The 26,120-nt window shown below is 37.7% G+C and overlaps 1 protein-coding gene and 1 pseudogene across 2 annotated transcripts in view; both read right to left on the reverse strand.

The window, feature by feature from the left end:
- Window positions 1-26,120, reverse strand: part of GABRA3 (gamma-aminobutyric acid type A receptor subunit alpha3) — a 285,082-nt gene that overhangs the window by 58,952 nt on the left and 200,010 nt on the right. The gene's annotated exons all lie outside the window — the stretch shown is intronic.
- RNU6-764P (RNA, U6 small nuclear 764, pseudogene) lies at window positions 25,387-25,491 on the reverse strand (annotated as a pseudogene).

Consider the following 26,120-nt stretch of genomic DNA (forward strand, 5'->3'; position numbering starts at 1 on the left):
GTTTAATTATTTCCGAAATATTTCTTCTCAGCAGGCTATTCTGTGAGTTAACCAATTTAAAGATTGCACTGAAGAGAAGAGATATGTAGAAAGAATATCTTTACCCTGATCATTAACAGACAGACAAAAAACATAATTCTGCTGCTCACAGGAACTGCTATAGCTTTGTTGAAAGAGATGGCTCTTGAGGAACACACACACACATACACCACACACACGCACACACACACACGCACACACACACACGCACACACACACACACACACACACACGAAAACTGACCACTCCAGGAAAAAATACAAAGGTGATGGAGGACATCGGAAACCTCAGAGGTCAAGTCTAAAGAGCTCATGCTCTGTCAACAGAGGCAACATTTGGAAAAGATGCTGGATGGATTGCTCAGTGGAAATCTGAATGGTGTATGACATGTTTACATACTCATTCCCCTGCAATAGTCTCTCTGAATAGTCTATTTCAAGGTTTCCCCTTCTGATTTTTTTTTTTTTATTTTTTTCAAGGCTTAACTTTCCTCGGGTTAGATAGTAGCCTCCTATGTAGAAATGGGGCTCACACAGCAAAACCTAAGAGTAGCTTGGAAGCTAGCCGTCATGAGCTACTTCTAACTAGCCTTTATACTTCCTGGTTATATTGGACTCAACCTCTGCCATCCTTTTGGAGTTCTAATAAGTTGAGAAACTGGTTATCAATTATAGCGTCACCCATTCCCCCAATGGCTTCTTCCCTTAGATAGGCACTCCTGCTGAGAACTTTACAGGGCCCAAGTACTCCTTAGGACCAGAAATCTCGCCTAATAAAATATCAATATATGAGACTGAAAAAAACATGCCTCACTTCTATGCAATTACCAAAGAAGCCTGTGGGGAAGTGTTTTGTTGAGGCAACAAATAAAGAAGTGCATGCAAGGGATCCCATGTGTGGTGTCTCCATTTCTCACTCTTCACATCACAGTGCTACTGTAACAGTGTTAGGAAGCAAGATCTTAACAAGAAAATATCCGCAGGCTATTGCTGCTTAACACGGTTTTTCTTTGGTTAATGAGAGTGAGATACCAGGAGATATTTCTTGTCAAATTACAGACATCCATGTGTCTATGAAGGCATAGAAGGTTCAATGTATAATTGTTATCATTATGATGATCATTGCTAATAACCTATGAGATGCTCACAGTATGTTACACCTTCTAAAGAAAGACTTAAACCTAAGACCTAAAACCATAAAAACCCTAGAAGAAAACCTAGGTATTACCATTCAGGACATAGGCATGGGCAAGGACTTCATGTCTAAAACACCAAAAGCAATGGCAACAAAAGCCAAAATTGAAAAATGGGATCTAATTAAACTAAAGAGCTTCTGCACAGCTAAAGAAACTACCATCAGAGTGAACAGGCAACCTACAAAAGGGGAGAAAATTTTTGCAACCTACTCATCTGACAAAAGGCTAATATCCAGAATCTACAATGAACTCAAACAAATTTACAAGAAAAAAACAAACAACCCCATCAACAAGTGGGCGAAGGATATGAACAGACACTTCTCAAAAGAAGACATTTATGCAGCCAAAAAACACATGAAAAAATGCTCATCATCCCTGGCCATCAGAGAAATGCAAATCAAAACCACAATGAGATACCATCTCACACCAGTTAGAATGGCAATCATTAAAAAGTCAGGAAACAACAGGTACTGGAGAGGATGTGGAGAAATAGAACTCTTTTACACTGTTGGTGGGACTGTAAACTAGTTCAACCATTGTGGAAGTCGGTGTGGCGATTCCTCAGGGATCTAGAACTAGAAATACCATTTGACCCAGCCATCCCATTACTGGGTATGTACCCAAAGGACTATAAATCATGCTGCTATAAAGACACATGCACACGTATGTTTATTGTGGCACTATTCACAATAGCAAAGACTTGGAACCAACCCAAATGCCCAACAATGATAGACTGGATTAAGAAAATGTGGCACATATACACCATGGAATACTATGCAGCCATAAAAAATGATGAGTTCATTTCCTTTGTAGGGACATGGATGAAATTGGAAATCATCATTCTCAGTAAACTATCGCAAGGACAAAAAACCAAACACCGCATGTTCTCACTCATAGGTGGGAATTGAACAATGAGAACACATGGACACAGGAAGGGGAACATCACACTCTGGGGACTGTTGTGGGGTGGGGGGAGGGGGGAGGGATAGCATTAGGAGATATAACTAATGCTAGATGACGAGTTAATGGGTGCAGCACACGAGCATGGCACATGTATACATATGTGACTAACCTGCACATTGTGCACATGTACCCTAAAACTTAAAGTATAATGATAATAAATATATATATATATTAAAAAAAGTTAAATTGTATAAACTCATAATTAAATGGGTTACATTTTTTTTTTTAAAAAAAAAAGAACATTCCCATCAGTAATTCCACTCAGGCCTACTGCTAACATTTGTGATGTAGGGACCCTGGTTGCCTGGAACTAAGGATTCTATTTACCTAATTTGCTCCCTATAGTGACCCTGTGAGGGACATATTGCAGACATTATTATCATCTTTATTTCAAAAATAAGAATTCATGGTGTTAAAGTGAGTTTCTCAAGTCACACAACCCGGAGAGCTGCAGTGCAAATCTGGTGTTCTTTCTACACTAGCAATTTTCCATTCATCTGAGGGTAACGGTCTCCTCAGGTCCTCAGTAATCTTTAAGTCATATGAGAGATGCTCTAGTTATCTTTGGTTATCTTTGAGCAAGTATGTTCTATGTATAAGGTAGTCATGTGAAGATACTAAGAAAAGAAGGAAGAACCAGAGGCACAAGCTACAATCATTGCCCTCATAGTGACCACTGCTATAGGAAGAGAAAGCTAACCCTCACATATGCAGTTAACCATTGACACAGGGCAAGAGTTGAGTACATTAGCCTGAATACAGTCAGAGTGCTTTCTGTTGCAGAAAAAACTTGAAGGGATATTGACAATCCTATCTCAATATGTGAAGGGAGATAAGGAGGGCAAGAAGATCAGACAGCATTGACATGTTTAAGAACTAATGAAAAGAGCACAACATAATTTGGTTTATGAAGTACCTTGCCCCTACAAACATTTGCTTTTTCTGTCTCCTCTGTGCTTAGGTGGGTTGAGCAAGAAGTGGATGGGAAGAAAGATAGAAAAGTTATTATAAATCAGTTTTGCCCCTAATCAGAAATCACTACCTTTGCATCCTGCTTTGATAGTCTATTTGTTGTGATCTTATTCTCCATGTCCCCAGAACTGCTGGCTAGACATAAAGTAATTTCCCCTTGGCATTACTCATAAGAGGCAGTGTCTTGGAAATAATAATATAAGTGGAGAAAAGGAACACCATTTTCTTTATTAAACTCTCATGGAATCTTTTCAGTATCCAACACAAGGAGCATGTTTTTCAGTGAAATACGTTTCTCTTGTGTCTGGTTCTTTGAGTCATGAAACCCCTTTTATGCCTTAAGAATAAAAGTCAGATTGGTGGAGCATTGCAGGCTAGCTTCAGAATTCAGCTTTTGTCCAAGACACATCGGAAATTTTGTAAATATCCAAGGGAACTTTAGTTCCCTCACCTATAAAAAGGAATAGAGACAATATCCCCTTCCCTTACATAATCCATCCATCCATTCAACATTTATTCATTTAACAACATCAGGGATTTATAGGGTGGTAGGAGGCACAGATTAGAAAAAAAGAAATCAAAGTCTTTATCTATTCCAGAGGATTATCACTATCATCATTATTATTTTTACTAAATATAAAAAATAATTTCAAAGAGAAAGCTGGGGCAGAATCAGAGCCTTTAAGTGACATGGTTGCCTCTGACTTCAGATCAGCAAAATAAACCCTGTAAAAATTCCATGTCCTCTCTCCTTTTCCAACCTTTCTCCCTCTTCATGGATTCATTTGTGAAGCTCTACTAAGTTTGGTTGTATTTTTGCTAGCAGTTTTCAGTGAGCTTTTCAAAAAAGGTCAGAATCCCCTGAAAATGTGGCATTCAGATCATAGAACTATAGTCGCAATACAGGGGTTGGCCTGCTTTGCTCTTTATGCGAAGATCAGATACAAAGTAAGAGGCAACCCAGGAAGCCCCTTCTTTGGGAGACGAGGATACAAATGAAAATCTGACGACCTTTTTGGCCCTGCATCTGCACCCTTCTCCCCCACATACATATTTCAGTTATGACTCTCATTTTACCATGCTTTGGAAGGGGTTGCAACTTTTAATAGGGTGTTTAGCAGGTACCTCACTGAGTAGGTGACATTTGAGCAACAATCTGAAGCAGATGAGAGAATGAGCCTTGTAGAAACCTGGGGAAAGAGCATTCAAGTTAGAAGGGGTAGCAGTGCAAAGGCCCTGAGGTAGAAGTGTGCCCAGGGTGCTCAAGAAATAGCAACTAGGCTACTGTGGCTGTCTTGTAGAGATCAAGGGGAAGAGTAATAGAAGATGAGTTCAAAGAGGAAGCTATGTGGCATAAACTAGATAGTATAAGGGCTCCTGGATATTTTTGCTTTCACTATGAGTGAAATATAGAGGCACTGTGGGATTTTAAGCAGAGGGTAATTTGATCAAACTAACATTTTAAAATTATGACAACTTTATAGAGAAAAAGTTAAAGGAGGTCAAAAACAAAACCAGGAAGATGAAGTCTAAAACTGCTTTATGATTAAAAACTCTCAAAAATCTAGGAATAGAAGGCAACTTCCTCAACTGATAAATGGCACTTACTAAAACCCTCATCTAGCATCATAGTTAATAGTGAAAGACTAAGATACTTCCCCTAAGATCAAGCAAGGATGTTTTTTCTTCCTTATTCAACTTCTTATTGAAGAATTTAGCCAGTCAAAGAAGAAAAGAAATGGGGAATGACTGCTAATGGTATGGAGTTTCTTTTTTGAGGTGACTAAAATGTTCTGAAATTAGATCTTGGTGATGGTTGCACAACTGTGAATATATTAAAAATCATTTAATTGTACACTTCAAGAGGATAAATTGTATGACATGTGAATCATATTTCAATAAAGCTGTCTAAATAATTAGGCAACCAAAAGAATATAAGAGAATGATTGGAAAGCAAAAATCAAAACTGTCTTTATTTGAAGGTGACATGTTCAGACTTTCCGTGTTCACAAATTTAGAAGTCCTAATAGCATTAAGGTGGCAATTCTCTCCAAATTGCTCTATATATTCAACACATGCGCTTTCAAAATCCCAGATTTTCTTTTTGTGAAAATGGCAGGTTGATTCTAAAATTTATATGAGAACACAAAGGATCTAGAATAGCCAAAGCATCTTTCAAAAAAAATCATGAGTACTTACACTTTCCAGTTTTAAAGCTACAGTAATCAATATGGTGCAGTTTTGGCCTAAATATTATAATATAGACTAATGGAAAAAAATAGAAAATCCAGAAATAAACTTTGATATTTATAGTCAATTGATTTTTGACCAAGGTGCCAAGCAATTCAGTGGAGACAAAAAATAGCTTTCTCAATGTTTCTAGGAGAATTTAATATACAAGTGCAAGATATGAACTTAGACTGTTACCTCACACCATAAGCAAAAATCAACTAACAATGGATCATAAATCGAAATTTAAGAGCTAAAATTTCTAAAGGAGAACATAGGAGAAAATCTTTGTTATCTTGAGTTGCACAAAGATTTCTTAGGTGTGACACCAAAATCATGATGCATACAAGAAAAAAATATGATAAATTAGACTTCATAAAAATTCAAAGCTTTTGCTTGTCAAAAGATACCTTTAAGAAAATGAAAAGACAAGGCACAAAGAAAGTGAATATATTTGTGAAACATACATCTGATAAAGGACTTGCATTAAAAATACATAAATAACCCTTAGAACTCAATAATGAGAAGAAAAACAACCTAATACAAAAATGAGAAGTGTATATATATATATACACACATATATGTATATATACACACATATGTATATATACACATATATATGTATATATATACATACACGTATATATACACACATATGTATACATACACGTATATGTATATATACACGTATATATGTATACATATACGTGTATATATACGTGTGTGTACACGTGTGTGTGTACACGTGTGTGTATACACGTGTGTATATACGTGTATATATGTATATATGCAAATAAGATATTCTGTTAGCTAATAAGCACATGAAAAGATGTTCGACATTAGTCATTTAAAAAATGCAAATTAAAACTACAATGAGATACTACTACATGCACACTAAAATGGCTAAAATAAAAAAGATCAACAATTTCAAATGTTGACAAGGATTTGGGAAAAACATAAGATCATAAATTATGGTGGATGGAAATCACACTTTGGACAATATTTTGGCAGTTTCTTAAAAAGTTTAACATAAGCTTACCGTAAGACCCTGTGGTTTTACTCTAATTCTTACTTTAATTACTCTAATTATTCACTAACAAAGATAAATGAAAACATATGTCCAAAGAAAGACCTGTTTATAGCAGCTTTATTCACAATAGATAAAAGGTGGAAACAACCCAAATGTCCATTATTGTGACTGGATGAACAAGATGTGGTATATCTATACAATGGAATGTTAATCATCAAGAAAAAAGGAATACACACAATGGCATGGATGAATCTCAAATGTGTTATGCTAAGTGAAAATAGCGAGACACAAAATGTCGCACACTGTATGATTCCATTCACATGACATGTCCAAGAAAGACGAATCTATAGAGACAGAAAGTACATTAGTAGTCGACTGGTGTTGGGGTGAGAACAGAGTGTTACTACAAATTTGTAGAGAGATTTTTGGAAGTGATAGTATGTTCTAAACTTGAATTTTGGTTACAGTTGCACAATTCTATAAATCTACTAAAAATCACTGAATTGTACATGTAAAATAAATTTTATAATATGTAAGTTATACTTCAAAAAGTTTTTATTTTAAATGAATCAATATCAGCCTTATAGCACAGTGTTTAAGAGCATGGATTCTTTTTTTTCTTTTTAGAAAGCATGCTTACCTTAGCCATTTATTAATTTATTTGTAGATTTAGGGGGTACAAGTGCCATTTTGTTACACAGATATATTACATAGCGGTGAAATTACGGTTTTTAGTGTAACTATCACCCGAATAATGTATATTGTGCCATTTAGGTAATTTCCCTTCCCTCACCCCTTCCTACTCTCCTACCCTTTCAACTCTCCAATGTCTATTATTCCACTCTCTATGTCGATGTGTATACATTATTTAGTTCCCACTTATAAACGATAACATGCAGTATTTGACTTTCTGTTTCTTAGTTGTTTCACGTAAGGTAACGACCTCCAATTGCATCCATGTTGGTGAAAAAGAGATAATTTCATTATTTTATTGATAAATAGTGTTCTATTGTGTGTGTGTGTGTGTATATATGTAACATTGTGTATATATATACAGCATTATATATATATACATATATATATAATTTTATTTATCCAATCATCCATTAATGTACACTTAGGATGGTTCCATATATTTGCTATTGTGAACAGTGCTGCAATAAACATCCAAGTACAAATATCATTTTGATATAATGATTTGTCTTTGTGTAGATACCCAAGAGCGAGACTACTGAAACAAATGGAGCTACTATTTTTAGGTCTTTGAGAAATCTCCATATTGTTTTCCATAGAGGTTATGCTAATTCAAATTCCCAACTGTGTGTAAGCATTCTCTTTTACCTGCATCCTTGTCAACATCTGTTTTTTTGTTTGTTTGTTTTTGCATTTTAATAACAGCCATTCTGACTGGTGGAAAATGGTATCTCATTATGGTTTTAATTTGCATTTCACTGATAACTAGTGATGTTGGGCATTTTATCATGTTTATTGGCCACTTGTATGTCTTCTTTTGAAAAATGTCGGTTCATGATGGGGTTGTTTGTTTTTTTTTTCTTGTACATTTGTTTGAGTTCATTGTAGATTCTGGATATTAGCCCTCTGTCAGATGAGTAGGTTGCGAAAATTTTCTCCCATTTTGTGGGATGCCTGTTCACTCTGATGGTAGTTTCTTTTGCTGTGCAGAAGCTCTTTAGTTTAATTAGATCCCATTTGTCAATTTTGGCTTTTGTTGCCATTGCTTTTGGTGTTTTAGCCATCAAAAAGTGCGCGAAGGACATGAACAGACACTTCTCAAAAGAAGACATTTATGCAGCCAAAAAACACATGAAAAAATGCTCATCATCACTGGCCATCAGAGAAATGCAAATCAAAACCACAATGAGATACCATCTCACACCAGTTAGAATGGCGATCATTAAAAAGTCAGGAAACAATGGGTACTGGAGAGGATGTGGAGAAATAGAACTCTTTTACACTGTTGGTGGGACTGTAAACTAGTTCAACCATTGTGGAAGTCGGTGTGGCGATTCCTCAGGGATCTAGAACTAGAAATACCATTTGACCCAGCCATCCCATTACTGGGTATATACCCAAAGGACTATAAATCATGCTGCTATAAAGACACATGCACACGTATGTTTATTGCGGCATTATTCACAATAGCAAAGACTTGGAACCAACCCAAACGTCCAACAATGATAGACTGGATTAAGAAAATGTGGCACATATACACCATGGAATACTATGCAGCCATAAAAAAGGATGAGTTCATGTCCTTTGTAGGGACATGGATGAAATTGGAAATCATCATTCTCAGTAAACTATTGCAAGCACAAAAAACCAAACACCGCATATTCTCACTCATAGGTGGGAATTGAACAATGGGAACACATGGACACAGGAGGGGGAACATCGCACTCTAGGGACTGTTGTGGGGTGGGGGGAGGGGGGAGGGATAGCATTGGGAGATATACCTAATGCTAGATGAGGAGTTAGTGGGTGCAGTGCACCAGCATGGCACATGTATACATGTGTAACTAAGCTGCACATTGTGTACATGTACCCTAAAACTTAAAGTATAATAATAAAAAAAATTAAAAAATAAAAATGTTTTTCCCCTCAAAAAAAATAAATAAAATAAATAAATAAGTACATGAAAAACAAATGTCAGTTCTTGTCCTTTGCCCACTTTTTAATGGGGTTATTTTTGTTTTCCTTGCTGATTTGTTTAAGCTCCTTATAGATTCTGGATATCATTTATTTGTTGGAGGCATAGTTTGCATATATGTTCTCTCATTCTGCAGGTTGTCTATTCACTTTTTTGATTATATCTTTTGCTGTGCAAAAGTATTTTTCATTTAATTAAGTCCCATTTCTCTATTCTTGTTCTCATTGCACTTCCTTTTGAGATCCTAGTCATAAATTCTTTGCCAAGGCCAATGATCAGTAGAGTTTTTCTAGATTTTCTTCTAGTATTTTAATAGTTTCAGATCTTACATTTGAGTCTTTAATCCATCCTGAGTAAATTTTTGTATATGGTAAAAGATAGAGGTCCACTTACCTTCTTCTGCGTATTGCAACCCAAATTTCCCAGTACCATTTATTGAATAGGGTGTCCTTTCTCCAGTGTATGTTTCCGTTGATTTTCTCAAAGATCGATTGGCTGTAGGTATGAAGCTTTATTTCTGAATTCTCTACTCTTTTCCATTGATCAATTTGTCTACTTCTATACCAATACCATGCTGTTTGGGTTAGTATAGCCTTGTAGAATAATTTGAAACCAGGTAATGTGATGCCTCCAGCTTTGTTCTTTTTGTTTAGGATTGCTTCAGCTCTTTGTGCTCTTTTGTGGTTCTATGTTAATTTTAAGATTTTTTTCTAATTCTGTGAAAAAATGACATTGGTATTTTGGTAGGAATTGCACTGAATCTCTAGATTGCTTTGAATAGTGTGGTCATTTTAACAATTTTGACTCTTCCAATGCATAAGCCTGGGATGTTTTCCCATTTCTTTGTGTCATTTACTACTTTCATCGGTGTTTTGTAGTTTTCGTTGTTGAGATCTTTCACCTCCTTGGTTAAACGTATTCCTACATACTTTTTGTAGCTATTGTAAATGAGCTTGCATTCTTGACTTGTTTCTTAGCTTGATCATTACTAGTATATGGAAATGCTATTGATTTTTATATGTGGATTTTGTATCCTGAAACGACTGAATTCATTTATCAAATTTAGGAGTCTTTTGGTAGAGTCTCTGGGATTTTGCAGCCGGAGCAATTAGGCAAGGGAAAGAAATAACAGACATCTAAATAGGAAAGGAAGACATTAAATTGTCTCTGTCTGCATATCACATGATTACATATATTGAAAATCCTAAAGACCCCAACAAACAATTGTCAGAACTAATAAATGGACTCAGTAAAGTTGCAGGATACAGAATCAACGGGAAAAATTCAGTAACATTTCTACACACTATTTAAAAAATACATCAAGAAAATAATCCAATTCACTATAGCTACAAAGATATGCTTGAGAATAAATTTAACATTTTCAGAGATGAAAGATCTGTACACTAAACGTTGATGAAAGAAATTGAAGACACAAATAAATTGAAAATCATCTTGTGTTCATGGATTGAAAGAATTCATATTATTAAAATATTGACACTACCCAAAGTGAGCTAGAGATTCAATGCAATTCTTATAAAAAATTCAATGACATTTTTCACAGAAATAGAAAGAAATCATAAAATTTGTATGGAACCAAAAAAGTCCCCAAATAGTGAAAGCAATCTTAAGCAAAAATAACAAATCAAAAAGAACAAAGCATTGCACTATTTGATTTCTTTTTTTTTTTTTTTTAGGGTATCTTTATTTTTTTTTTAATTTTTTTTTATTATACTTTAAGTTTTAGGGTACATGTGCACATTGTGCAGGTTAGTTACATATGTATACATGTGCCATGCTGGTGCGCTGCACCCACTAACTCGTCATCTAGCATTAGGTATATCTCCCAATGCTATCCCTCCCCCCTCCCCCCACCCCACCACAGTCCCCAGAGTGTGATATTCCCCTTCCTGTGTCCATGTGATCTCATTGTTCAATTCCCACATATGAGTGAGAATATGCGGTGTTTGGTTTTTTGTTCTTGCGATAGTTTACTGATAATGATGATTTCCAATTTCATCCATGTCCCTACAAAGGACATGAACTCATCCTTTTTTATGGCTGCATAGTATTCCATGGTGTATATGTGCCACATTTTCTTAATCCAGTCTATCATTGTTGGACGTTTGGGTTGGTTCCAAGTCTTTGCTATTGTGAATAATGCCGCAATAAACATACGTGTGCATGTGTCTTTATAGCAGCATGATTTATAGTCCTTTGGGTATATACCCAGTAATGGGATGGCTGGGTCAAATGGTATTTCCAGTTCTAGATCCCTGAGGAATCGCCACACTGACTTCCACAATGGTTGAACTAGTTTACAGTCCCACCAACAGTGTAAAAGTGTTCCTATTTCTCCACATCTTGTCCAGCACCTGTTGTTTCCTGACTTTTTAATGATTGCCATTCTAACTGGTGTGAGATGGTATCTCATTGTGGTTTTGATTTGCATTTCTCTGATGGCCAGTGATGATGAGCATTTTTTCATGTGTTTTTTGGCTGCATAAATGTCTTCTTTTGAGAAGTGTCTGTTCATGTCTTTCGCCCACTTTTTGATGGGGTTGTTTGTTTTTTTCTTGTAAATTTGTTTGAGTTCATTGTAGATTCTGGATATTAGCCCTTTGTCAGATGAGTAGGTTGCGAAAATTTTCTCCCATTTTGTAGGTTGCCTGTTCACTCTGATGGTAGTTTCTTTAGTTGTGCAGAAGCTCTTTAGTTTAATTAGATCCCATTTGTCAATTTTGGCTTTTGTTGCCATTGCTTTTGGTGTTTTGGACATGAAGTCCTTGCCCATGCCTATGTCCTGAATGGTATTGCCTAGGTTTTCTTCTAGGGTTTTTATGGTTTTAGGTCTAACGTTTAAATCTCTAATCCATCTTGAATTGATTTTTGTCTAAGGTGTAAGGAAGGGATCCAGTTTCAGCTTTCTCCATATGGCTAGCCAGTTTTCCCAGCACCATTTATTAAATAGGGAATCCTTTCCCCATTTCTTGTTTTTCTCAGGTTTGTCAAAGATCAGATAGTTGTAGATATGTGGTGTTATTTCTGAGGGCTCTGTTCTGTTCCATTGATCTATATCTCTGTTTTGGTACCAGTACCATGCTGTTTTGGTTACTGTAGCCTTGTAGTATAGTTTGAAGTCAGGTAGTGTCATGCCTCCAGCTTTGTTCTTTTGGCTTAGGATTGACTTGGCAATGCGGGCTCTTTTTTGGTTCCATATGAACTTTAAAGTAGTTTTTTCCAATTCTGTGAAGAAAGTCATTGGTAGCTTGATGGGGATGGCATTGAATCTGTAAATTACCTTGGGCAGTATGGCCATTTTCACGATATTGATTCTTCCTACCCATGAGCATGGAATATTCTTCCATTTGTATCCTCTTTTATTTCCTTGAGCAGTGGTTTGTGGTTCTCCTTGAAGAGGTCCTTCACATCCCTTGTAAGTTGGATTCCTAGGTATTTTATTCTCTTTGAAGCAATTGTGAATGGGAGTTCACTCATGATTTGGTTCTCTGTTTGTCTGTTGTTGGTGTATAAGAATGCTTGTGATTTTTGTACATTGATTTTGTATCCTGAGACTTTGCTGAAGTTGCTTATCAGCTTAAGGATATTTTGGGCTGAGACAATGGGGTTTTCTAGATATACAATCATGTCATCTGCAAACAGGGACAATTTGACTCCCTCTTTTCCTACTTGAATACCCTTTATTTCCTTCTCCTGCCTGATTGCCCTGGCCAGAACTTCCAACACTATGTTGAATAGGAGTGGTGAGAGAGGGCATCCCTGTCTTGTGCCAGTTTTCAAAGGGAATGCTTCCAGTTTTTGCCTATTCAGTATGATATTGGCTGTGGGTTTGTCATAGATAGCTCTTATTATTTTGAAATACATCCCATCAATACCTAATTTATTGAGAGTTTTTATCATGAAGGGTTGTTGAATTTTGTCAAAGGCTTTTTCTGCATCTATTGAGATAATCATGTGGTTTTTGTCTTTGGCTCTGTTTATATGCTGGATTACATTTATTGATTTGTGTATATTGAACCAGCCTTGCATCCCAGGGATGAAGCCCACTTGATCATGGTGGATAAGCTTTTTGATGTGCTGCTGGATTCGTTTTGCCAGTATTTTATTGAGGATTTTTGCATCATTGTTCATCAAGGATATTGGTCTAAAATTCTCTTTTTTGGTTGTGTCTCTGCCCGGCTTTGGTATCAGAATGATGCTGGCCTCATAAAATGAGTTAGGGAGGATTCACTCTTTTTCTATTGATTGGAATAGTTTCAGAAGGAATGGTACCAGTTCCTCCTTGTACCTCTGGTAGAATTCAGCTGTGAATCCATCTGGTCCTGGACTCTTTTTGGTTGGTAAACTATTGATTATTGCAACAATTTCAGCTCCTGTTATTGGTCTATTCAGAGATTCAACTTCTTCCTGGTTTAGTCTTGGGAGAGTGTATGTGTCGAGGAATTTATCCATTTCTTCTAGATTTTCTAGTTTATTTGCATAGAGGTGTTTGTAGTATTCTCTGATGGTAGTTTGTATTTCTGTGGGATCAGTGGTGATATCCCCTTTATCATTTTTTATTGTGTCTATTTGATTCTTCTCTCTTTTTTTCTTCATTAGCCTTGCTAGTGGTCTATCAATTTTGTTGATCCTTTCAAAAAACCAGCTCCTGGATTCATTGATTTTTTGAAGGGTTTCTTGTGTCTCTATTTCCTTCAGTTCTGCTCTGATTTTAGTTATTTCTTGCCTTCTGCTAGCTGTTGAATGTGTTTGCTCTTGCTTTTCTAGTTCTTTTAATTGTGATGTTAGGGTGTCAATTTTGGATCTTTCCTGCTTTCTCTTGTGGGCATTTAGTGCTATAAATTTCCCTCTACACACTGCTTTGAATGCGTCCCAGAGATTCTGGTATGTTGTGTCTTTGTTCTCGTTGGTTTCAAAGAACATCTTTATTTCTGCCTTCATTTCGTTATGTACCCAGTAGTCATTCAGGAGCAGGTTGTTCAGTTTCCATGTAGTTGAGAGGCTTTGAGTGAGATTCTTAATACTGAGTTCTAGTTTGATTGCACTGTGGTCTGAGAGATAGTTTGTTATCATTTCTGTTCTTTTACATTTGCTGAGGAGAGCTTTTCTTCCAACTATGTGGTCAATTTTGGAATAGGTGTGGTGTGGTGCTGAAAAAAATGTATATTCTGTTGATTTGGGGTGGAGAGTTCTGTAGATGTCTATTAGGTCCACTTGGTGCAGAGCTGAGTTCAATTCCTGGGTATCCTTGTTGACTTTCTGTCTCGTTGATCTGTCTAATGTTGACAGTGGGGTGTTAAAGTCTCCCATTATTATTGTGTGGGAGTCTAAGTCTCTTTGTAGGTCACTCAGGACTTGCTTTATGAATCTGGGTGCTCCTGTATTGGGTGCATATATATTTAGGATAGTTAGCTCTTCTTGTTGAATTGATCCCTTTACCATTATGTAATGGCCTTCTTTGTCTCTTTTGATCTTTGTTGGTTTCAAGTCTGTTTTATCAGAGACGAGGATTGCAACCCCTGCCTTTTTTTGTTTTCCATTAGCTTGGTAGATCTTCCTCCATCCTTTTATTTTGAGCCTATGTGTGTCTCTGCACGTGAGATGGGTTTGCTGAATACAGCACACTGATGGGTCTTGACTCTTTATCCAATTTGCCAGTCTGTGTCTTTTAATTGGAGAATTTAGTCCATTTACATTTAAAGTTAATATTGTTATGTGTGAATTTGATCCTGTCATTATGATGTTAGCTGGTGATTTTGCTCGTTAGTTGATGCAGTTTCTTCCTAGTCTCGATGGTCTTTACATTTTGGCATGATTTTGCAGCAGCTGGTACCGGTTGTTCCTTTCCATGTTTAGCGCTTCCTTCAGGAGCACTTTTAGGGCAGGCCTGGTGGTGACAAAATCTCTCAGCATTGGCTTGTCTGTGAAGTATTTTATTTCTCCTTCACTTATGAAGCTTAGTTTGGCTGGATATGAAATTCTGGTTTGAAAATTCTTTTCTTTAAGAACGTTGAATATTGGCCCCCACTCTCTTCTGGCTTGTAGGGTTTCTGCTGAGAGATCCGCTGTTAGTCTGATGGGCTTCCCTTTGAGGGTAACCCGACCTTTCTCTCTGGCTGCCCTTAACATTTTTTCCTTCATTTCAACTTTGGTGAATCTGACAATTATGTGTCTTGGAGTTGCTCTTCTCGAGGAGTATCTTTGTGGTGTTCTCTGTATTTCCTGAATCTGAACGTTGGCCTGCCTTGCTAGATTGGGGAAGTTCTCCTGGATAATATCCTGCAGAGTGTTTTCCAACTTGGTTCCATTCTCCCCATCACTTTCAGGTACATCAATCAGACGTAGATTTGGTCTTTTCACATAGTCCCATATTTCTTGGAGGCTTTGCTCATATCTTTTTATTCTTTTTTCTCTAAACTTCCCTTCTCGCTTCATTTCATTCATTTCATCTTCCATTACTGATACCCTTTCTTCCAGTTGATCGCATCGGCTCCTGAGGCTTCTGCATTCTTCACGTAGTTCTCGAGCCTTGGTTTTCAGCTCCATCAGCTCCTTTAAGTACTTCTCTGTATTGGTTATTCTAGTTATACATTCTTCTAAATTTTTTTCAAAGTTTTCAACTTCTTTGCCTTTGGTTTGAATGTCCTCCCGTAGCTCAGAGTAATTTGATCGTCTGAAGCCTTCTTCTCTCAGCTCGTCAAAGTCATTCTCCATCCAGCTTTGTTCCGTTGCTGGTGAGGAACTGCGTTCCTTTGGAGGAGGAGAAGAGGCGCTCTGCGTTTTAGAGTTTCCAGTTTTTCTGTTCTGTTTTTTCCCCATCTTTGTGGTTTTATCTACTTTTGGTCTTTGATGATGGTGATGTACAGATGGGTTTTCGGTGTGGATGTCCTTTCTGTTTGTTAGTTTTCCTTCTAACAGACAGGACCCTCAGCTGCAGGTCTGTTGGAATACCCTGCAGTGTGAGGTGTCAGTGTGCCCCTGCTGGGGGGTGCCTCCCAGTTAGGCTGCTCAGGGGTCAGGGGTCAGGGGTCAGGGACCCACTTGAGGAGGCAGTCTGCCGGTTCTCAGATCTCCAGCTGCGTGCTGGGAGAACCACTGCTCTCTTCAAAGCTGTCAGACAGGGACACTTAAGTCTGCAGAGGTTACTGCTGTCTTTTTGTTTCTCTGTGCCCTGCCCCCAGAGGTGGAGCCTACAGAGGCAGGCAGGCCTCCTTGAGCTGTGGTGGGCTCCACCCAGTTCGAGCTTCCCGGCTGCTTTGTTTACCTAAGCAAGCCTGGGCAATGGCGGGCGCCCCTCCCCCAGCCTCGCTGCTGCTTTGCAGTTTGATCTCAGACTGCTGTGCTAGCAATCAGCGAGATTCCGTGGGCGTAGGACCCTCTGAGCCAGGTGTGGGATATAGTCTCGTGGTGCGCCGTTTCTTAAGCCGGTCTGAAAAGCGCAATATTCGGGTGGGAGTGACCCGATTTTCCAGGTGCGTCCGTCACCCCTTTCTTGGACTCAGAAAGGGAACTCCCTGACCCCTTGCTCTTCCCAAGTGAGGCAATGCCTCGCCCTGCTTGGGCTCGCACACGGTGCGCGCACCCACTGGCCTGCACCCACTGTCTGGCACTCCCTAGTTAGATAAACCCGGTACCTCAGATGGAAATGCAGAAATCACCCGTCTTCTGCGTCGCTCACGCTGGGAGCTGTAGACCGGAGCTGTTCCTATTCGGCCATCTTGGCTCCTCCTATTTGATTTCTATAGTACTCAAAACAGCATGGTACTAACAAAAAAACAAACACATAGACCAATGGAACAGAATAGAGAGCCCAGAAATAGATCTGCACATTTACAGTCAATTGGTTTTCATAAAAGATGCCAAGGACACACTATGGGGGAAAGAACAGTCTCTTCAATAAATGGTGTTGGGAAAACAGGATATCCACATACAGAAGAATGAAATTGGACCCCATTTACACCATACTCAAAAGTCAACTCAATATATTTTGAGTTGAAACTATAAAACTAGTAGAAGAAAACAGAGAGAGAAAGCTCAACAGCACTGGCCTGGGCAATGATATTTTTTGCAAATGACCCCAAAAGCATAGGCAACAAAAGCAGAAATAGCCAAATGGCATTACATCAACCTAAAAAGCTTCTGCACATCCAAGGAAACAGTTAACACAGTGAAGAGATAACCTATGGAACGGGAGAAAATATTGCATACTATATATCAAATAAAGGGTTAATATTCAAAATACATAAGGAACTCAAACAACAATAGCAAGAAAACAAATAGCCCAATTTTTAATATAGGCAAAGGATCTGAATAAATGTTTGTCTTAGATGTATGAAAAGAGGCTCAACTTCATAAATAATCAGAGAAATTCAAATCAAAACCACAATCAGATATTACCTCACACCTGTTAGGATGGCTACTATCAAAAAGATAAAAGATAGGTGTTGGCGAGAATGTGGAGAAAAGAGAACTCTTTCATACGGCCATTATAAAAAACAGTATGGAGGTTCCTCAAAAATTAAAAATAGAAATACCATATAACCCAGCAATCCCACTACTGTGTGTACATGCATCCAAAGGAAATGAAATCAGTATGTTGAAGAAATATCTGCATTTTCATGTTTATTTCAGCATTATTCACAATAGCCAAGATACGGAATCAATTTAAGCATTCATTGGTGGATAAATGGATAAAAAGATGTGGTATATATACACAATAAAATACTACCTGGCCTTAGAAGAAAAGGAAATCCTGCCACTTGCGACAACATGGAGGACATTATCTTAAGCAAAATAAGCCACACTCAGAAAGACAAATACTCTACAATCTCATTTATATGTGGAGTGTATAAAAGTTGGACTCATAGAAAGAGAGTAGAATGGTGGCCAGGAAGTGGGAGGATTGAGGAGATGTTGGTCAAAGAATATAAAATTTCAGTTACACAGGAAAAATAAATTCAAGAGATCTATTGTACAACATGGTGAGTATAGTTAATAACAGTGTTTTATATATTTAAAAATCGCTGAGAGCAGAATTTACGTGTTCTCAGCACAAAAATTGAGATGTGAGGTAATGCATATGAAAATTAGCTTGATTTAGCTATTCCCCAATGCATAAATATATCAAGACATTCTGTTGTACACCATAAATACATATTATTTTTATTTATTTATTATAAACAGAGCATGGATTCCAAAGCCAGACTGCCAGATTTAAAACCCAGGTCCACCATGAACCCAGCTTGTAGTAGTAGCTATGTGTAAGTTACTTCAGTTCTCTGTGTCTTGTTAGCTAACACCTTGCAGATGCTAATTGAAGCCCTAAGACTAGATGATACTACAAAAGGAGTGATGTATCTAGGGAAGACAAGAAGTCTAACGACTGAGATTCAGCATACTGGGTTCATGTCTTTCCACTGACTCTCCACACATCTCAGGCAGAAGGTATATGTATCAGAATCTTGAAGGAGGGAGGGGAAATGAAGCAAGCAGTAAACCATAAACTGCATATGGTCATTTGAAACATTTGGTCCAGCAATTATGCTATGCCATCTCATTGGGTTCAAAATCCCTGCTATTGACTAAAAGTCACAGGGTAAATAATTTCTTTCTATACCTTTGGAATAGAGACAAATTAGTGACTTGGCTATTTGGTGCCCTTATCTCATCTTTATTGGAAATACCTAAGTACATTTTCAAAACAAGCAAACATATCAGAGATTATTCTTACTGTATGATTTGCTGATTTTTAACATTTTATTATACCATTGATACAAAAGCCAGTATTTACTTTGCATTTATTATACAGTGCTTTGCATATTAAGGATATTTTTGCTGGTACATATGTCTTGTCTCCTGAACTAGATTGAATACCACATGTAAGTCATTTGCTTTTTGATGGAAATCCATGCAACACACTAACCCAATGAGTAAATTTTCCAACTCAGAAACTGTTACATCCATGTCTTCAGTGCCTGCTGTGGTCTGAATGTTTGTGTCCCCCTGAAATTAAAATGTTGAAATATTAATATAACCACTAATGTGATAGTATTAAGTGATAGGGCATTAGAGAAGTGATTAGGTCAGGAGGGCTCTGTCCTCTTGAATGGGGTTACTGGCCCTATAAAAGTGACCTAAAGGAAAATGTTAGTCTCTTCTGCCATGTGAGGACACAGCAAAAAGTTGCCATATTTGAAGCAGAGAGGTAGCCTTTAGACACTGAATGTACTGGAGCCTTGATCTTGGCCTTCCTGACCTCAAGAACAGTGAGAAATAAGTTCTGTTGTTTATAAATTACCCAGTCTAAGGTGTTTTATTATAGCAGTTCAAATGCATTAAGACAGTGCCCATTTGCCTTCGACCCACGGAGAGTGACACTTCTGGAAAGTGAGGTTCTGGTTATCATAAGCTACTTCTCCATTACTTTACCCTTCTAATGCAGCAACCTCTAGCACATATTCCTTATCCAGAATACTGCGGAGCTATACACATAATATTTGTATACTTTAAAATATGCAAGCTATATCTCAATTAAAGAATTAAAAAAATCTGCAAAATTAATTGAATGAAAGAGTCACCTAAATTAACTGCCCCACAGAAAAATATCAAATCATTCTTAGACTTTTGCACATAGAATACTGATTATTTTTTAAATAAGGGCATAAAATAGGAGAAAACCATAAATAAGGTTAGAGAAAAAAGGTTCCCACACTAACTAGAATCCTAAAGGTTAAAAATCTAAAGTTTATTGAATATATGTACTGGTTGTTCAGTGAGGCTATCACTGTGTTTAAGTATAATGTAGGAGGGAACAGTTTGAACTTTGTAGGAGAACAAGGGGCTCTGGAATTCAGTATGAGCCATACCGAAAGCAATCTGTCAATTAGGCCTTCTCGAAGTGGAACAACCTACTCTGAACTCTTAGGAATGCTCTCTCTAAGGACAAATAACACTGCTTCAGGAGCAGTTGAGGTGCCAGGCCAGCTATTTCTATAATAATGGAGTAAAGGGCAGGATTTGGGATTTATGGTGAAAAAGAAAGAATAACAAATCATTAATAGCCATTATCAGTACAGCATGAGTCACTTGAAATATACTACCACCAAACACCCAAACCAAGCAGCACATTAGTCACGAGAATGCCAGTTGTCTGAGGTGTCCCATTAAATCTTCAAGCTATAGACAAGAAGCTCAGTACGCAGGAAGGAGGGCCACCACTTTACTGCTCCATTTAGCCTTCAGAGGGAGCACATCTGAGTTTTAACAATTATCTCAGAGGTGTAGCTCCAACCTCATTTCCATTCTCCAGCCATCTGTAAAAACTTATAATTTTACAAAACAAAACTCTCATGTATCTGTGTCTTTTCATACATTTTTTTCCTGCCTGGAATACCCTTTCCTTTTTATAGGCACAACATATTTCCTTCAAGTCTTTTCTCAAATATTCCCTCTTCCATGATGTTCGTCTGTGCCCTACAAGTACTGTGGTTTCCTCCAGCTCACAGCAATCTAAGGGCTCTTTGGACAACAGTCTTAGACGTTACCACATAGGATTATTAGTGTCTGTTTAGCTCTCTGTCTTCTGCACAGGACTATAAGCAACTTGAGAGAGTGGTCTCTTCATCATTGTAATCCCATCCCTGGTATGGTAATTGGCACATAGCAGATGGTTGACAGCTGTTTCCTGATTTAATAAATATTTCTGTGAGATAGGCAGAGCAGGTATTTTCAGCAATGTATCCCAAAAGAAGAGACCGAGACCCAGAGAAGAGAAATGCCTTGTCCATGGTTACACTGCTGATCTGTTCCAAAGGTGGGATTCACACCCATGGCTCTTAATTCCTTCTCTGATGTTTATTCCATTACAACAGAGTTTCTACTCTGTCTAGGGGTAGCATCTAAAATAGCTGGGTTCTTTGGAACAAGAGGGACACTTACTTTGACCTGTAAATCCCTCTGTTAGAATGAACTTTTAAACAGACTCAATTTGCCTGGAGACCAGTTTCTTGCTTGGAGAATAAAGGCAGTCCTTGTTATTTCAAGGCCATGATTTCCACATGGAACTGGCAAAAATGAAATAAATGTGAGGAAACTTCTCAGGAATACTTTTTTCCTCCCCACCTTCCAGCTCAAATGTTAGTTCCCCTGTGAAGCCCTGCCACACATCTGGGTCCATGTCCCCAAGTTTCAGTGAATCCTGTAATTTTTAGCACATAGCACTTCACTGTTAGCTTTATGTGAAACTTCCATTATGCCTTTTGGTACAGTGAATGATGTGCCCTGTCTTTCCTCCTAAGATATGAGCTCTTGGAGGGCAGGAGCTGATGTCCTTGCATGAAGTGCACACAGTAATTTGGGATTGACTGAGGACTTACACCATTATTTCCTTCTCACCTCATTGTAAGCTTTCTCAGAGACCAAAATGAACCACTCCATCTCTTCTATGCTCTTACTTCTGTTCATTAGAGTGAGATTCACTAAGTGTGGCTCTGTGAGTCAGTTGCTAGCTTAATGAATAAGAAACTACAGGTGGAATCCCCTAGAGCAAAAGCCATTACAAAAAAAAAGACTGTGTGAAACAAGCTATCAATGCTTGGTTGATCTGATTACATTAAATCCTATACAACTAACAGTGTGGCCCAAATGCTTTCCCTGGTTCCTGGCCATTTCAGAGGCAGAGTCTATAATGAAAACACAAGTGCAAGCCATTTGCATCTAAATAAGTAGGAGAAGAATTTTACTGATGAAGTTTGTGGGAGGAGGGCTCCTGACATGCAGAATTTAGCCTTCACATAGTTTGTCTTTGGAATATTCAAAGCACATAAAACTGACTCAGTCATACAATAAAAAATTTCATGGTCTCAATATGATAGCAACCCTCACTCAATTGGTTCAGAGCACCACTTTCCTCTTGATTATTAAACATGGAGAAACTAGCGCCTATTTCCTTTGAGCTAAATGCAGGACACTATTACTGTGTAACGTAACCCATAGCTGACATTTTGTGCAATGTATTCAGTTTTACAAAATCCCACTGTGTCAATGTTTTCCTGAGTTCCAGACCTGCATTTCCAACTGCAGCTTGTCGTGTCCACTTCAGATTTGTTATTTAAAATTGATAGGCCACACCCTCCCTTATTAGAGGAAATGATGGGATGTAAAGGGGAAAAAAGGTTTTCACTAGCAGAATGACTTGGGTCTCTATACCAGCTCTGCCACTTATTGGTGGTGTGAGTTTGCTCTATTGAAACTTCAGTTTACTAAGTGTAAAAATAGGGATGTTAACAATAAAAATGAAAACACTTCACAGAATGCCAAGAAGTATATCAAGCAATTTACATGCCTTATCGCATTCACTTCCTGCAATGGTCTATGAGGCAGGCATTGTTATGATTTGCCTTATTTTACAGAGGAAGGACCAGGAGCAGTCTTACTGCAGAACCCACCTTCTTAATAACCATGCTATATTATGCTTCTGTAGTATATACACATGAACATTGCTGTGAGGATTAAATTTAACAAATACATGTGAAGCAACTAGCACAACAGGTGGCATATAGCAAATCCCCAAGATATGTAAACTCTCTAACCCCTCCTCTCTCCAAAATATCTCCTTCTTCTCCTATAATGAGTTTTTGTTGTGGTGGTTGTTGTCGTTAATAATTCACTCAGTATCCAGGGAGAATATGTCAGGGACATTCTCAACGCACCTTTTTCCTCGATACCCTATATCCAGTTGGACTTCAACATCTATTGAAAACGTCTCTCATTATACTTGCCCTTCTTCTTCCACTCTCACTTCTCACTGCCTTTTCTTGGACCTCTGTCATTCCTTCCTGGACTATGAAAGGGTCTGTTAACTAGTATTTCTATTTATCTTCCAGAATGCAACCAGGGATTTCAATTTAAAAAAAAAAACTGGGATTGGCAAACACTTGCCAACTGTTCACCAAATCCACTTTCTCATTTTCTTGGTAATGTTTCTTTTCCCACCATGTCCATGTGACCTCATTCTAGTTAAAGTAACGTCAGTAGACATGAGTATGCCACTCAAGGCCTGGTCTATAAATACCTCCCATATACAATCTGTCGTGCTCTTTCATCTTCTACTGACTTAATACAAATAAGCACAGTGGTCTTGAAACAAACTTGCACGTTGTGCACATGTACCCTAAAACTTAAAGTATAATAATAATAAAATTTAAAAAAAAAAGAAAACCATGTGTTGCACCACTTGGAAATGAGCCGCTTGTCAATGGGGAACACCTGCTTTGAAATTTAAGGAGCAAGAAATACACTTCTATCATGTTTGAACTGTTATTCATTTTGGGGTTCAGCAACTTGTGTTATCACAAATTCTCTTGTCATGTCTTTCACTTTAAAAAATACATTATGTTGGTCAAAGGATGCATATTTATAATTAGGTAGGAGTAATAAGTTCAAGTGATCTATCATACTGCATGGTGACTAGCTGACAATAATGACGATATATTGCATTCTTGAAAAATGCTGACAGTGGATGTCAAGTGTTCTCATCACAAAACGTTAACTATGTGAGGTAATGCATTTGCGAATTAGCTAGATTTAATTATTCTGCAATGTATATGTACTTAACATCATGTTGTACACAGTAAATACAATTTTATATGTCAATCAAAACATAAATAAATCTGTAAAAACAATAATGCTTCCCTGTAACTACAGGATAAACATATTCTGTATCACTTCTTCACTATCATCCCTCATCTGTCATGCACAAATCCTTCCAAATAGGTATGCTATTTGGCTATATTTCCTACTCCCTTTATCACTGCCATGTTCCAAAATCTTATTACTCCTCTTTGTTCTACGGAAATGTTAACAATTGGGTCATCATTTATATTACACCCCTAATACTTCCATTATCCTAGGCAACTTATTTACTTGTAGAAACCAGCCATACAACCTCCTGAACTCCACACTTCCAATTAGGCACCAAGTGCCATCAATGTTACCTCTTGAACATATTGTATGCCCACAATTCTTCCTCAAAACCTAATTTAGTGGAAAGAGCAGTAACATGAAGCTAGAATAAGTGTTGTGAAGATTAGAGATGTTTTACGTAAAGTACCTAACAAATAGTAGGTGTTCAACACATAGTATACTACATATACACAGTATATATAATACGTAGTTGTCATTAGGATTATCATTTGAGTATTATGGCAGCTTCTTAGCTAGGTACCTCATCTTCAGCCTTGCCTTCCTCTAATCTGCCTCCTACACTGCTCCCAGAGTGATCTATCTTAAATGCAAATTTGTTTGATTTCTTCCTCCGCAATAAAGTCTTTAGTGGATCCTCATCATGTTTATGCCAACATAGCGTATAAGCCCCTCTCCCCACCTCGGACTGCTTTCCTGCACTGTACTCTGGTCCAATCACACTGAACTTTTAGTCCTTCAATGTATCATCACTACCTTCTCCTCTCACTCTTCAAGCCTTTATACATGCTATGCTCTATCTCTGCAATGTTTCCTCCCTGTCTTTTAATTTACTTCTACAGATCTTTTAGGTCTCAGAAATCATTCAGAAGGTGATATCCTCTGGAATTTATTGTGGCTATACCCCACAGACTCATTTCACTGTCCTTGTTAGATGCTCCCATAGTACTCTCTCTTTCCCCTATCATGTCTCACAAAGAAGCATGGATTTTCTGATGCATGATGTCGATTCATGAATACATGTCTTTGTGTATACTATTTCTTCTGCCTGGAAAACCCTCCTCTACCTCAGCCCTGTCTCTCATTTGTTTGACAGTCACCTACACTTCCTTCAAGATTCAAGGGACAAACTATGCAGCACCTCCTTTTGCAGCTTTCTTTGATAACCCTATATCATTTTAGATGTGACTTCTCCTGCGATTCTATCACATTTTGCACCTCCATTTCAGGAATTTTATATTATTGTGCAGCTATCTGTGCACAGGTCTCTTTAACTGTAGAGTCATTAAGAGCATGACCTGTGCCTTATTTATCTCTGTAGCTCAGCAGATATTCCAGAACTTTAAACATAGTAAGCACTCGTGAATGTGCTGATGAATGTTTTAAGTCAATAGGATAAAATCTAGTTAAATTCCATAAATAGTTCTCCTTCATATTCAGATAGTCAATAGGACTTTTTTACTATATTATATATTATGCAACATTTATATACAACGAACATGTTTACCCGTGTCCTCATATACAAATAATATGACATTAATAGAGATGAAGTTTTCTATATATCCATACCTGAATAATAGAACATATTTTATAAATGTGTGTATCATCTCGGGCTGGGCTCTGCTAATTATCTATGCATTGTTCCAATTTTAGTATGTGTGCTGATGAAGTAAGCAGCAGGTAACGGGTTTTAGCCTGTATTTTTACGGTTGTTCTGAGGTCCCAAGATGAGGCAAAGCAAGGCTTCTTTCTAAACTGCCCTAGTTACATACCCATGCAATGCTTGCTCAGATTTTAGTAGGAAGCTGTCCTTCTGTAGTTTTCCCATGGACTCCAGATAAGATTCCTGAGGGTCAAAATAATAATAGGGGTGCTATAGAATAACACTTTCTGAAAAATTCTAAGTGTTCTGCAGACCTTATTCAATTTGTGCTTTTCATATGCCTGCAAGACTGGCAGCAGCTACATTATTATCAGACTAGAGAAAGTGAACGGTTTGTGACTTGAGAAAGGTCACTAGGTGAATCAATTGTGGGGCTGTAAAAAGAGCCAGGCTTTTATTTTTCCATTTTGAGCCTATGTCTCCCTCCAGGCCCACCTTCCTGGATCCAAGGTGCTACTGTGTAGGAAACCGATGGCTTCATCATGCTTCTGTGCTTCTGTACTTCCTCTATTCTGTAAAACAGAATAAGCACAAGGGCATTCTACATAGACTCTAATCTCATCGAACTTGACTTTCTTGTCCAATTCAGACTAGAATAAAGGGCCCAATTATCATCATCTTCCCATTCATTCAACTGTATTTC

This window comes from Homo sapiens, chromosome X, assembly GCF_000001405.40.
Source record: "Homo sapiens chromosome X, GRCh38.p14 Primary Assembly".
NCBI lineage: Eukaryota > Metazoa > Chordata > Mammalia > Primates > Hominidae > Homo > Homo sapiens.